At 44.6% G+C, this 16,012-nt stretch overlaps 1 long non-coding RNA gene across 1 annotated transcript; it reads left to right on the forward strand.

Annotated features, from left to right (window-relative positions):
• Positions 1-938: 938 nt before the first annotated feature.
• LINC01149 (long intergenic non-protein coding RNA 1149) lies at positions 939-6,245 on the forward strand. Its single transcript, NR_144465.1, has 2 exons — positions 939-1,583; positions 4,750-6,245. It is a non-coding gene; the product is annotated as a long intergenic non-protein coding RNA 1149 (long non-coding RNA).
• The last annotated feature ends 9,767 nt before the right edge of the window (positions 6,246-16,012 follow it).

Raw genomic sequence — 16,012 nt, forward strand, 5'->3', positions numbered from 1 at the left:
AAGCTGAGGCAGAGAATTGCTTGAACCCAGGAGGCGGAGATTGCAGTGAGCTGAGATCATGCCACTGCACTCCAGCCTGGGTGACAGAGCGAGACTCCATCTCAAAAAAAAAAAAGTGTTGATGTACCTACCTTGCAAGGAGGTAGATAGGTAGACAGAAGCATGGATAGATGGATGGATATTCTTTTTCTGTGTTTTTCTATTTCTGTTCTTTCTCTGTGTTTTGTCTCTTTCTCTTGCTCTGTCTGTATCTTCCACTGTTCCTTCATAATCATGTCTTAGCCATCATCAGTGACATCTTTTATCTGGTCTTATAAGATCTTGTCTGTCTGTTGTATTAGTAGCCACAGGACAGAAAAAGGAAAGGAGTCGTGAAAAACAAGATAAGGAAAAAGATGCTCCTGACATGGGGCATCGGGAGGATGTGTGGCCCTGAGGCTCCCGGGAGACAGGGGCTGCGCCTCACTGCAGAGTCCATCCTGCTGAACACAGAGGGGAAAAGCGCCCTGACAGCCCCGTCCGTGCTGCTCAGAAAAGACGGCTCCGTCTCCAGATCCTTCTCTCTATGTCCTTCAGTCTTGGCTCTCTAGGTACAATTTACTGCTATGAAAAGGGATTTGAGAATTCCCAGAGGAGGCTTTCAGCCTCTTTGCATGGCTCTTTCTGGCCTTTCAAAAGCGCCAGAGACATCAGAAATGAAATCGTACACACTTATTCGGAGTTTTCCACAATCATTGAAATTTCTGTGAGTGCCAAAGTTAAGTTTTTGGCAACCCCGTCAAAGCCGGGTGTGCCCAGGACAGTCAACTCAGGCGCTGGACTCTCATTCTGGTTGGATTTTATGACAGCCGTATTCGCCATAAGAATTCTAGAGCCAGACCTTGTTACTTCACAATTGCCTCACGTTGCAGGACAAGCAAATCTAGCCTGAGTCCTGTGGATTCCAGGGCTGCTCAGGAGACGCCTCCATCCTGGCGTGGATGACCTCAGGATCAGCCCCGTCTGCCCCACTCAGCCCGCAGCCTGGTCCCCGAAAGCGCTCAGTCAGAATCCGAGAGCACTGTGGCGGCGCCCCCGTGTGGCCACAGGACTGAAGACAGAGGACCCCGCTCCCCTTTCTCCCCAGCCAGGACGTCCCAGGCTCTCCCCCTGTTCCCCGCACCTGGACGGGACTCTGCACAGAAGAGAGTCTCCCGGTCTCGTGTCAGGCTCTGAGTTCATCCAGCTTCCCAAAATCCATGTTGATATGAACGTTTTCTCCCACAACTGATTGACTGGACTTTTGTCTCAGGGCAGAGGGAGGCCTCCAGACCAAAACAGCAGGATCAGGTCTGGAGCTGACTCAACCCCAAACCCTTGCTAATGCACGACCCAGTCCCCCAGCCTCCAGGATGGGACCTTGGCCTCCTGTCCCCTCCCTTGTTCCTGCCACTGCTCCTGCAGGTGGAGGCTGCTCATCCCAGGAATCAGTCTGTGAGCTCCAACCTTGGGGCCTCGGTCCAGGAAGGAGGGAGGCTCCAGAGAGCAGAAGGGAGATGAAATGGATCATAAGAGAAGAAGGAATCATACCAAACACTGGAACTGTAGGTCAATTAAACCTTTTTCTTTATAAGGGGGGGGGAGGAAGAGGAGGAGGAAAAAGGAGGAGGGTGAAAGGAGTCAGGGAGGAGAGAAAAGTGGGAAGTGTTTCTTTAGAAGGGGTGTGTGTGTGTGTGTGTGTGTGTGTGTGTGTGTGTAGGTGTGTGTAAAGCAGGAGGGAGTTCCTAGGATCCTGAAGAAAAGAGAGTGAAGGACAGGGGCTAAGGGGCCCAGCCCTGGTAGGTTGAGGGCCCCACTTTCTGTGCTCGGGCCTTACTGTCCTAGCAGAGTCCAGCCCCGGGAAGCCTGGGGTCACAGCACTCGGCTTGCTGGATGGCTGCCTCTTCATTGTCTTTGACAGCAGGAGCTACCTTGCCAGGCCCAGTGGCCACAGGGTCACAGGCAGAGAGCAGGTCCCTCTGCTGGCAGCCAAGGAGATGCTCTTGGAGGATACGTGCACAACTTAGCTGGGAGTCTGAAGATGGTGGTGGGTTACAAAGAGCTCAGCGATGAGCCTGGCCCAAGATTCTGACCCCTTGCCCTGGATCCTGAGGGTTCCACCCTTCCCTATTCCCAACAGGTCTCAAGAATTCTTCTGTTAGTCTCCTGCCCTCTTGGGACAGCCCCGCACTTCCCTCACTTTGATACCCTGGTACCCAGGCATCTGCCTCCTTCATTCTCCTCCAGCTACCCAAGCACCCCCAGGCCCTGCTCTCTGCCAACCCTGATCCCTGAACTCCAGCACTTTCCAAACCCACCCCCGAATTGCTGGATAATATAGTGGTTCTATTTTTAGATTTTTTAAAACTCTCCATACTGTCTTCTATAGTGGCTGTACTAATTTAAATTCCTATCAACAGCGTACAAGAGTTCCCTTTTCTCCACATCACCAGCATCTGTTATTTTATTTTATTTTATTTATTTTATTTTTGTCTTTTCAGTTGTGGCTATTCTATCTGGGGTAAGATGACATCTCATTGTGGTTTTGATTTGCATTTCCCTAATGATTAGTGATGTTGAACATTTTTTTATGTATCTGTTGGCCATTTATATTCTTCTTCTGAAAAATATTTATTCATGCCCTTTGCCCACTTTTTAATAAGATTGTTTGGTTTTTTAATTCTTGAGTTGTTTGAGTTTCTTATAGTATTCTGGATATTAGTCCCTTGTCAGATAAATTGTTTGAAAATGTTTTCTCCTGTTCAGCAGATTGTCTCTTCACTCTGTCAATTGTTTTATTTGCTATGCAGAAGCTTTTTTAGTTATTATAGTCCTATTTGTCTGGTTTTATTTGTGTTTTCTATATTTTTGAAGTCTTAGCCATAAAACCTTTGCCCGGACCACTGGCCTAGAATGTTTCCCCTGTTTTCTTCCAGTTGTTTTATAGTTTCAGGTCTTTCATTTTATTTAAGTCAACTTGAGTTGATTTTTAATAGGGTGAGAGATAAGAATCTAATTTCATTCTTCTGCATACGGGATATCCATTTTCCCAGCCCTTTTACTGAAGAGGGTGTCCTTTTCCCAAATGTGTGTTCTTGGCACCTTTGTTAAAAGTCAGTTGGCTGTAAATATATGGATTTATTTCTGCATTCTCTATTATGTTCCATTGATTGGCATGTCTGTTTTTATATCAATACCATTCTGTTTTGGATACTATAGCCTTGTAATGTATTTTAAAGTCAAGTAGTGTGATGGCCCTAGCTTTGTTCTTTTTGCTCAGGATTTCTTTGGCTATTTGGACTTTTTAAAAATGTTTTGGGTCCATAGAAATATTAGAATTATTTTTTCTAATTCTGTGGAAAAATAACCTTGGTATTTTTGTTGGAATTCCCTTGAATCTTTAGATTGCTTTGGGAACTATGGTCATTTTACTAATATTAATTCTTCTGATTCATGAGCATGGAATATCTTTCCATTTGTTTGTGTCCTCTTCTTTCTTTCATCAGTGTTGTATAGATTTATTTTTAAGAGATCTTTGACTTCCTTGCATAAACTTATTCCTAGGCATTTTTTTCTAGTTATCGTAAATGGAATTGCTTTTTTGATTTCTTTCTCAGCTACTTCATTAATAATGTATAGACATTATACTGATTTTTGTATGTTGATTTTGCATCCCACAACTCTACTGAATTTACTTATCATATCTAATAGTTCTTTGATGGAGTCTTCAGATTTTTCTAGAAATAGGATCATTTCATTGGCAGGGAGGGGAGAGAGGCTGAAGGTTAAGCTGATGGCCAATGATTTAATGAATCATGCCTAAGAAATATGACTTCCATCAAAACCCAAAAGGGCAGGGTTTGGAGAGCTTCTGGATAGCTGAACACAGGGAAGCTAACAGGAGGGTGAACAAGAACTCAGCCATGTGCCAGAGAGGGTGGCGCATCCCAACCCCATGGGACAGAAGCTCCTGCACTGGAAACCCTTCTGACCTTGCCCTATGTGTCTGTTCATGGGGCTCTTTATTTGTGTCTTTTAAAATATCTTTTTAAATAAACTGGTAAATATATGTAAGTGTTTTCCTGAGTTCTGTGAGCCATTCTAGCAAATTAATCAAACCTGAGAAACGGGTTATGGGAACACTGATTTAAAGCAAGTTAGTTAGAAACACGGGCAAAATGGCTTGAGACTGGCATCAGGAGTGGGAGGCTTGAGACTGGCATCAGGAGTGGGAGGGGGACAGTCATGGGGACTGAGCTCTCAACCCATGGGATGCGATGCTATCTCCAGGGAAAGAGTGGCAGAATTCAGTTAGAGGACACCCAGCTGGTGTCCATCACAGAACTGATTGCTTGTTTGTTGGAGAAATTCCCTACATTTGGTCAGAGAAGTCTTCTGTGTTGATAGTTGTTGTGGTGTGAGAGTAGTGGAAAACAATGTGAGATTTTCCACACTCAGAGTGGATCTAAATGTTGAGTTGCTTTTAAATTTGACTTAGTCGTGGCCTGACTAAACAGGATTAGATGTGAGAAATTTTTTGGTATAATGTATAGGAAGGAACTAAAGGCTGATGAGGATGGGAGTGTTGGAATAGATGTTCTGTGCATGAGTACCCCCTTCATCCTCTCTGTCTCCCAAGAACCAAAAAATACTCTCTCTGCAGCTTTAACAAATACTGGTTTGGAAGAGAGTGACTGCGTTTTTCAAAGTTCTAAATGGCTATGATTGCAGGACCTTTGTGATGCTCAGGAATGTCCTGATGTCAGCGGAGATGAAGGAAAACCAGAGATTCAAAAGTCAAAGGAAAGGGCCATTTACCATAATTCATATCATACATATTTCCTGGAAAAAAAAAGAAAAATTCCTTGGGGAAAAAGCATCAAAATCATCAGGAAGTCTTCCACACAGAAATGACTTCATTAATTTGATCTCTGTCATTCTTTCTTTTCATTCATGTATTATTATCCATAGAGATTTCTATCCTGTGGGTTTTTTATTTAATTTTTGTTTGTTTGGTTTTTTCAGACACAGTGAGACCCTGTCTCAAACAAACAAACGTCACAGGCTGCAGTGCAGTGGCACAATCATTGCTCACTGCAGCCTCGACCTCCCTGTCTGAAGCAATCCTCCAGCCTCAGCCTCATGAGTAGCTGAAACTACAGGAACATGCCACCATGCCCAACTAATTTTTTAAAAAATTTTTTTGTAGAGATGAGGTATCACTATGTTGCCGAGGCTGGTCTCAAACTCCTGGGTTCAAACAATTCACCCACCTTGGCTCCCCAGAATGCTGGGATTACAGGCCTGAGCCACGTACCCAGCCTCTATCCCATGTTTTGATTCATCATCATCTCCTAAGCCCTTTCCCAGCATCGATAGTCTACTAAACATGCCATGATTAAATTATATCTCTATACCTTGATATAAACAAAAAATTATATGAGCAGTAAAGACAAATATGAAAAAGTAAAATTACTGCCAAAGTTATTAGGAGGATAACCTAAATTATTTGGGTAGGAAAATCTTTCTTTTTTATTTTATTTTTTTTTCCAGCCAGGGTCTCATTCTGTCACTCAGGCTAAATTACAGTGGCCCGATCATGGCTCACTGCAGCCTTGACCTCCCAAGATTCAGGTGATCCTCTTGCCTCAGCCCCCTGAGTAGCTGAGACAACAGGCATGTGAGACAATGCCTGGCTCCTTTTTATATTTTTAGTAGAGATGGGGTTTTGCCATGTTACCCAGGCTGGTCTCAAACTTCTAGGCTCAAACGATCCACCCACCTCAGCCTCCCAAAGTGCTGGTATTACAGGCATGAGGCACTGTGCCAGCCTTTTTTTTTTTTCACATCTGCTGGAATGGAAAATATTTCTTAAATGAGACACAAATGTATCAAATTGAAAATGTTTAAACTTCAAAGGACTTACATACATATACAGTCATTCTTCGCTCAATGGTGAGATAGCTTCTGAGAAATGAGTCCTTAGGTGATTTTGTCATGTGTGGACATCATAGAGTGTCCTTACATGAACCTAGATGGTATAACCTACTTCACACTTAGGCTACGTGATAAGCCCATTGCTTCTAGGCTACAAATTATATAGCATGTTACCGTATGGAACATTGCAGCCAATTCTAACACAATGGTAAGTATTTGTGGATCTAAGCATGTGTAAACAGAGAAAAGGTACAGTAAAAATGTGATTAACAAAAAGATCTTTAAAATGGCGTATCTGTCTAGGACACTTACCATGAATGGAGCTTGCAGGACTAGAAGTGCCCTGGGTGAGTGAGTGAGTGGTGAGTGAATGTGAAGGCTAGGGCATTACTGTACACTACTTAGACTTTATAAACTTAGGCTACACTAAATTGATTTTAACATTGTCTTTCTTTAATAATAAATTAACTTATTAATAATTAACTAATAATTTTATTATTTATTTATTAACAATTAATAACTAATTAATAATTAGTTACCATAGCTTTCTGTAACCTTTTGAACTTTTTTGTTTTATTATTATACTTTAAGTTTTAGGGTACATATGCACATTGTGCAGGTTAGTTACATATGTATACATGTGCCATGCTGGTGTGCTGCACCCATTAACTCGTCATTTAGCATTAGGTATATCTCCTAATGCTATCCCTCCCCTTTCCTGCCACCCCACAACAGTCCCCAGAGTGTGATGTTCCCCTTCCTGTGTCCATGTGTTCTCATTGTTCAATTCCCACTTATGAGTGAGAACATGCGGTGTTTGGTGTTTTGTCCTTGCGATAGTTTACTAAGAATGATGATTTCCAATTTCATCCGTGTCCCTACAAAGGACATGAACTCATCCTTTTTTATGGTTGCATAGTATTCCATGGTGTATATGTGCCACATTTTCTTAATCCAGTCTATCATTGTTGGACATTTGGGTTGGTTCCAAGTCTTTACTATTGTGAATAGTGCCGCAATAAACATACGTGTGCATGTGTCTTTACAGCAGCATGATTTATAGTCCTTTGGGTATATACCCAGTAATGGGATGGCTGGGTCAAATGGTATTTCTAGTTCTAGACCCCTGAGGAATCGCCACACTGACTTCCACAATGGTTGAACTAGTTTACAGTCCCACCAACAGTGTAAAAGTGTTCCTATTTCTCCACATCCTCTCCAGCACCTGTTGTTTCCTGACTTTTTAATGATTGCCATTCTAACTGGTGTGAGATGGTATCTCATTGGGTTTTGATTTGCATTTCTCTGATGGCCAGTGATGGTGAGCATTTTCTCATGTGTTTTTTGGCTGCATAAATGTCTTCTTTTGAGAAGTGTCTGTTCATGTCCTTCGCCCACTTTTTTATGGGGTTGTTTGTTTTTTTCTTGTAAATTTGTTTGAGTTCATTGTACATTCTGGATATTAGCCCTTTGTCAGATGAGTAGGTTGCGAAAATTTTCTCCCATTTTGTAGGTTGCCTGTTCACTCTGGTGGTAGTTTCTTTTGTTGTGCAGAAGCTCTTTAGTTTAATTAGATCCCATTTGTCAATTTTGGCTTTTGTTGCCATTGCTTGGTGTTTTAGACATGAAGTCCTTTATAAACTTTTTAAACTTTTCTACTCTTTTGTAATAGCACTTAGCTTAAAACGTCAACACATTATACAGCTCTACAAAAATATTTTTCTTTATATTCCCATTCTAGAAGCTTATTCCTATTTAATTATCTTTACCTTTTAATCTTTTTTGGTAAAAATAAAGACATACATTAGCATAGGCTGACACAGGGTCAAGACCAACAATATCAACCATCTTCAGCCTTCACATCTTGTCCCACTGGAAGATTTTCAGGTGTAATAACACGCATGGAGCTGCATCTCCTATGATAACAATGCCTTCTTCTGGAATACCTCCTAAAGGACCTGGCTGAGGCTGTTTTAATTTTTTTATATATATAGAAGGAGCACACTCTAAAATAACAATAAAAAGTATAGTAAATACATAAAACATAGCATAGTCATTTATTATCATTATGAAGTATTATGTACTGTGCATAGCTGTATATGCTAGACTTTTTATAGGACTGGCAGTGCAGTAGGTTTGTTGACAGCAGCATCACCACAAACACATGATTAATGCATCATACTATGAGGTTATGATGGCTTCAATGTCACTAGGTGATAGGAATTTTTCAGGTCCATTAAACTCTCATGGGACGACAGTCATATATGCAATTCATCATTGACCCAAACATCATTATACAATGCATGACTCTATAACACAGTGGGGTGTGTGTGTGTGTGTTTGTATTTTGTGTGTAAGATTAACACTGAAATTGAGGTATCAACTAGGCACCAAGGTAAAAACATATTAACTTTTCCTGTGAGGTGTCAAATTACCCCATGCAGAATTTGAAATGCAAACGACCATTGGAGGCTTAGAGGTCTTCGGGTTCAAACCGTCAGAGAATAGCTCATTTTAAACTCATCCTCCCACAGTAAACAAGTATAAAAGTCACAAAAAACATACAATGCAGTTGTGCAGCCACAAAACAGCAACCAGCACAGGACTATCACCTTTTGGAGAATGGAAGTTCCTGAAAGGGAGATTCACATCCTTATCAGCTTTCTTTCCAGAAGCATTTGCCAAAATACAATGAAGAGAAATGGAACCCAAGCAGAGAAAATCAGTCTCATCGGCAAAGGAAACAGAGATCAGAGTTCAGGCTTGGCACATTGACTGGGATTTAGGGGTAGGGTGCTGAGGGAGGGAGTTACAGACAAGAAACCCCCAAAATCTGCACTCCTGAGCTGCATATGCTCCAGATGACACTCTAAGAAGCCCACTGGAGAACAGCTTCTTGGAGATTGCATGCTAAGTAGAAATGTCACAGGCTCCATAGTGTGAGGAGATGTTGGAATTTCAGCCCTGCAAAACCTGTGTTGAGACATCAGGATGGGGAAGCCGTGTAAGTGAGGACCGTGACCTTGGAGTAAGAACCACACTGAAATAGACTCACCCTAGCAAAGGCTAAAATCAAGAGGAAGCAGAATCAAAGTGGGTCTGATTTTTACTAAAGGTGATTCTTTGATAATTACCTAACTGTCAAACTATTACCAGTCTTTGGAGGAAGATAACAAAACCCAGAGCCTCTAAAATCCATCATGTAGAATATGTGCCATGCCAAGCAGCAGAGAGAATGCAGCAACTAAAGAAGAAATAATCAACAGAAGCCAACTCAAAGATGATCTGAATATTGAAGTCAGCAAACAAGGACATTCTTCAAAATATTTATGATTAATATGTTAAGGAAAATAGAGGAAAAGATGGGCAAACTATTTCAAAATTCCCAGAAAGATTAATCATAAGAAGAGAGAAAACACAAATGAACACTATGAGAAGGGACATTATAAAACTGTAGATTTTATTAAAACAAAAATAAGAGAAAGTTAGACACAACTTCATGGAAAGAGCTTTTAAAATTTAGGTATAGTGACATGAGTTCTTGAAAAAGACGGTTGAACAAAGCCAACAGAAAACTAAGTAGAAAATATAAATAATCCTATATCCATTAAGAAATTGAGTTCTAAATACATTCCTTCCCACCAGAGAAACTCCATGCCCAGACTTCTTCACCTGTCAATTCTTTCAAAAACTTTTTAAAAGGCATGTCAGCCTTATACAGTCTTCCTCTGGTACCTTTTGGGATGGGTTCTAGGGCACCTGTGGATACCAAAATCCATGGATGCTCAGGTCCCATATATAAAATAGCCTAGTATTTGCCTATTAGCTATGCACATCCTCCCATATACTTTAAATCATCTCTAGATTACTTATAATTCCTAATGCAATGTAAATGATTTGTAAATAGTTGTTACACTGTATTGCTTAGGAAATAATGACAAGAAAAATGTCTATACATCTTCAGTACAGACATAACCACTGTAGGTACTCCTAACTACAGAGTATACATCAGCAACAACATAACATTTTCAATCCTAAGGTTGTTGAATTCACAGATGTGGAACTCACAGACATGAAAGGCAGACTGTGTGCTATGGTTTGTCTGTTTGCCCACCCAAATCTCATCTTGAATTGTAGTTATCATAATCCCCACGCGTTGTTGGAGGGACTCGATGGGAGACAATTTAATCATGGGGGTGGTTCCCCTCATGCTGTTCTCATGATAGTGTGTTCTCACAATACTTCATGGTTTTATAAGGGGCTTTTTCTGCTTCGGTTTGGCACTTCTCCTTGTTGCTGCCATGTGAGGAAGGATGTGTTTGCTTCCTCTTCTGCCATGATTATAAGTTTCCTGAGGCCTCCCCAGTCATGCTGAACTCTGAGTCAATTAAACCTCTTTCCTTTTAAATTGCCCAGTCTTGAGTATGTCTTTATTAGCAGTATGATAACAGATTAATACACTGTCTTATATTTTTTAGATAATAAAGAGTAAACACCTTCCAACTAATTTTATGAGGCAACATAAGTCAGACAAGGACCTAAACATGACAATTATATTACAAGAAAAATAAACTCATCATCAAAATGATCTGATGAACATAGCCACCAAAATTCCAATTAAAATATTAGTAAATAGAACCAAATAATATATGAAATGGATAACACATAATGACCAAATGGGATTTATAAGAGAAATACATGGTAGATTTAACTTCAAAATGTCAGAATAATCTACCCCAAGAATAGAGAAAAGTAGGACAACATGTGGTTATATCAATAGATGCAGGAAAACCATTTGATAAAGTTCAGTAGGCATTCATAATAAAAACTAAATAAACTAGACATAAAAGGGAACTTCCCTAACAGAATACAGTTATTTACAACAAAGAAATACAAAGAAATACCTAAATCTAAAGTCATAATTAATGAAGAAATATTAAACACTCCTCTGAGGTGGGGACAAGAGAAGGATGTCCACTATCATCACTTTTATTTAACATTGTACTGTGTGTCCAACAGCAAAAATAGATTACATAAGATATATGACTGTCTTCTTCAAGGAAAACATTATCGTGTATGAAGAAAATTTAAGAAGCTCTATGAACAGACTATTAAAAATAAGTGAATTTGGCAAGGCCAGTATAAAGCAAAAAGTAACATTTCTATACGTGAGTAATAAACAGTGAGAAGAACTGACATTCTTTAAATAGCTCTATGTACAATACCACAAAGAAACATAAATTGTAGAAATAAATATAAAAGTTATACAAAATCTCATCATTCAGAATTACAAAACATTGCTGAGACAAATTAAGTGGATAGTTATTTCATATATATGAAGAAGACAATATTGCTAAGATACCGTTTATCCACAAAGTGATCCATGGAGTCAATGCAATTGTAATAAAACTCCCAACAGTTTTTTTTGTGGGAATTGACATGCTCCTTCTAAAATGTATACAAAAATGTGAGGAGCTTAAAATAGCCAGAACAATATTGGAAGAGAACACAATTGGAGGACTTAAACTATCAGATATCAACAGATATTTGAAAGCCATAGTGATTAGAAAAGTGAAGTATTTGTTCAGGGATAAACAAACAGGAAAAAATTATTAAAATAGAGCCCTCTCTATTTTCTTCTATGAGTTTTATAATTTAGCCCTTACATGTAGGTCTCTGATCCATTTTGTGTTGATTTATACATATGCTGTGAGGTAGGGTTTCAACTTCTTTGTTTTTTTTCTTTTGCAGAGACAGTGTCTGTGTCACCCAGGCTAGAGTGCAGTGGTGCAATCAGAGCTCATGGTAACCTTGAACTCCTGGGTCCAAGCAATTCTCCTGTCTCAGCCCCTCAAAATGCTGAGATTGCAGGTGGAGTCACCACTTCCAGCCCCTCAACTTCATCCTTTAGAATGTGGGCATCCAGGTGCCCAGCTCCATTAGATGAAGAGTGTATACTTTAACACATTGAGTTGTCTTAACACCTTTACTGAGGTTCTTTGCATATATCTCTTTATGTGTCTCTGAGCTGTTGTCTAGTGCCCTTTCATTTTAATCTGAATGACTCACATTAGTATTTCTTATAGGAAAAATCTACTGGCAATGGAATCTGTCAGTTAGTTGTTAATTAACTGGAAACATCTCAATTTCTCCTTCATTTATTTTAATTTATTAATTGTGATAAAATGCACATAACATAAAATTTACCATCTTAACCATTTGTAGTGGTAGTGTTCAGTAGTGCTAAGAACACTCACACTGTTTTGCAAACCAATCTCCAGAACTCCTTTCATATTGCAAAACTGCATATTTTCATTTTTGAAGAATAAGTTTTCTAGATATAGAACTTTTGGTTGACAGCTTTATTTTTGTAGCACTTTAAACATGTCATACCACTCTGACTTTCCTCAGTGTTTTCTGGTATGAAATTGGCTGTTAATCTCAATGAGGATCCCTTGTACATGATGCATTATTTGTTTCTTGCTGCTGTCCAAGTTCTCTCTGCTTCTATTTCAACAGTTTGGTTATAATGTTTCTTGGTTTGGATGTCTTTGAGTTTATTCTGCTTGGTAGATTCACAGATTTTTATCAACTTTGGCAAGGTTTCACCTGTTACCCTATATTTTTACTCTCTCTTTCTATCTCTCCTCTACTTTGGGAACTCCCATTATGCATCTGTCAGTCCACTTGATGCTGTACAGAGGTGTCATAGCCTCTGATCATTTCCCTTTATTTTTTTTTCTTCCTGCTCTTCAGATTGCATAATCGTAATTGGCCTATCTTCAATTTGCTGGTTCTTCTGCCTGCTAAACTCTGCATATATTAGTCAGCATGGCAGTGTCCCACAAGTCCCTTAGGCTCTGTTCACTATTTTTTGTTCCTTTTTTCATTTCTATTCCTCAAAGTCTATGATTTAAGATGACTTGGCTTCGAGTTTGCTGATTCTTTCTTCTACCTGTTCAAGTCTGCTATTGAACATCTCTAATGAATTTTTTTTCAGTAATTATATTTTCCCTTCTAGAATTGCTGTTTCCTTATTATATATATATATATTTTTTTTTATTTTAATTTTTATTTTTTTTATTGATCATTCTTGGGTGTTTCTCGCAGAGGGGGATTTGGCAGGGTCATAGGACAATAGTGGAGGGAAGGTTGGCAGATAAACAAGTGAACAAAGGTCTCTGGTTTTCCTAGGCAGAGGACCCTGCGGCCTTCCGCAGTGTTTGTGTCCCTGGGTACTTGAGATTAGGGAGTGGTGATGATTCTTAACGAGCATGCTGCCTTTCAAGCATCTGTTTAACAAAGCACATCTTGCACCGCCCTTAATCCATTTAACCCTGAGTGGACACAGCACATGTTTCAGAGAGCACAGGGTTGGGGGTAAGGTCACCGATCAACAGGATCCCAAGGCAGAAGAATTTATCTTAGTACAGAACAAAATGAAAAGTCTCCCATGTCTACTTCTTTCTACACAGACACGGCAACCATCCGATTTCTCAATCTTTTCCCCACCTTTTCCCCCTTTCTATTCCACAAAACCGCCATTGTCATCCCGGCCCGTTCTCAATGAGCTGTTGGGTACACCTCCCAGACGAGGTGGTGGCTGGGCAGAGGGGCTCCTCACTTCCTAGTAGGGGTGGCCGGGCAGAGGCGCCCCTCACCTCCCGGACGGGGCAGCTGGCCGGGCGGGGGGCTGACCCCCCCACCTCCCTCCCGGACGTGGGGCTGACCCCCCCACCTCCCTCCCGGATGGGGCGGCTGGCCGGGCGGGGGGCTGACCCTGCCACCTCCCTCCCGGACGGGGCGTCTGGCCGGGCGGGGGGCTGACCCCCCCACCTCCCTCCCGGAGGGGGCGGCTGGCCGGGCGGGGTGCTGATCCCCCCACCTCCCTCCCGGACGGGTCGGCTGGCCGGGCGGGGGGCTGAGCCCCCCACCTCCCTCCCGGACGGGGTGGCTGGCCTGGCAGAGGGGCTCCTCACTTCCCAGTAGGGGCGGCTGGGCAGAGGCGCCCCTCACCTCCCGGACGGGGCAGCTGGCTGGGCGGGGAGCTGACCCCACCTCCCTCCCAGACGGGGCGGCTGGCCGGGCGGGGGGCTGACCCCCCCCACCTCCCTCCCGGACGTGGGGCTGACCCCCCCACCTCCCTCCCGGATGGGGCGGCTGGCCAGGCAGAGGGGCTCCTCACTTCCCAGTAGGGGCGGCTGGGCAGAGGCGCCCCTCACCTCCCGGACGGGGCGGCTGGCCGGGCGGGGGGCTGACCCCCCCACCTCCCTCCCGGATGGGGCGGCTGCCGGGCAGGGGGCTGACCACCCCCACCTCCCTCCTGGACGGGGTGGCTGGCCAGGCAGAGGGGCTCCTCACTTCCCAGTAGGGGCGGCTGGGCAGAGGCGCCCCTCACCTCCCGGACGGGGCGTCTGGCCGGGCGGGGGGCTAACCCCCCCACCTCCCTCCCGGACGGGGCGGCTGGCCGGGCGGGGTGCTGATCCCCCCACCTCCCTCCCGGACGGGTCGGCTGGCCGGGCGGGGGGCTGAGCCCCCCACCTCCCTCCCGGACGGGGTGGCTGGCCTGGCAGAGGGGCTCCTCACTTCCCAGTAGGGGCGGCTGGGCAGAGGCGCCCCTCACCTCCCGGACGGGGCGGCTGGCTGGGCGGGGAGCTGACCCCACCTCCCTCCCAGACGGGGCAGCTGGCCGGGCGGGGGGCTGACCCCCCCACCTCCCTCCCGGACGTGGGGCTGACCCCCCCACCTCCTTCCCGGACGGGGCGGCTGGCCGGGCGGGGGGCTGACCCCCCCACCTCCCTCCCGGATGGGGCGGCTGGCCAGGCAGAGGGGCTCCTCACTTCCCAGTAGGGGCGGCTGGGCAGAGGCGCCCCTCACCTCCCGGACGGGGCAGCTGGCCGGGTGGGGGGCTGACCCCCCCACCTCCCTCCCGGATGGGGCGGCTGCTGGGCGGGGGGCTGACCCCCCCACCTCCCTCCCGGACGGGGCGGCTGCCGGGCGGAGATGCTCCTCACTTCCCAGACGGGGTGGCTGCCGGGCAGAGGGACTCCTCACTTCTCAGATGGGGCGGATGCTGGGCGGAGGGTCTCCTCACTTCTCAGACGGGGCAGCTGGGCAGAGACGCTCCTCACCTCCCAGACGGGGTCGCGGCCGGGCAGAGGCGCTCCTCACATCCCAGACGGGGCGGCGGGGCAGAGGCGCTCCCCACATCTCAGACGATGGGCGGCCGGGCAGAGACGCTCCTCACTTCCCAGATGGGATGGCTGCCGGGAAGAGGCGCTCCTCACTTCCTAGATGGGATGGCGGCCGGGCAGAGACGCTCCTCACTTTCCAGACTGGGCAGCCAGGCAGAGGGGCTCCTCACGTCCCAGACGATGGGCGGCCAGGCAGAGACGCTCCTCACTTCCCAGACGGGGTGGTGGCTGGGCAGAGGCTGCAATCTCGGCACTTTGGGAGGCCAAGGCAGGCGGCTGGGAGATGGAGGTTGTAGCGAGCTGAGATCACACCACTGCACTCCAGCCTGGGCACCATTGAGCACTGAGTGAACCAGACTCCGTCTGCAATCCCGGCACCTCGGGAGGCCAAGGCTGGCGGATCACTCGCGGTTAGGAGCTGGAGACCAGCCTGGCCAACACAGCGAAACCCCGTCTCCACCAAAAAAGTACGAAAACCAGTCAGGCGTGGTGGCGCGCGCCTGCAATCGCAGGCACTCGGCCGGCTGAGGCAGGAGAATCAGGCAGGGAGGTTGCAGTGAGCCGAGATGGCAGCAGTACAGTCCAGCTTCGGCTCGGCATCAGAGGGAGACCATGGAAAGAGAGGGAGAGGGAGACCGAGAGGGAGAGGGGAGAGGGGAGAGGGGAGAGGGGAGAGGGGAGAGGCAGAGGCAGAGGCAGAGGCAGAGCAGGAATTCAGATTTTTTTTTTTCCTTATATTTTTAATGAGTCTTTATTTGGTGAGATATTGTTCTTCTGGTTCCTTTACATATATACATATATATATACACACACATACACATATATGTGTATATATATACATATATATATACACACACATACAC

The sequence above is a fragment of the Homo sapiens genome, chromosome 6 (genome assembly GCF_000001405.40).
Source record: "Homo sapiens chromosome 6, GRCh38.p14 Primary Assembly".
Lineage (NCBI taxonomy): Eukaryota > Metazoa > Chordata > Mammalia > Primates > Hominidae > Homo > Homo sapiens.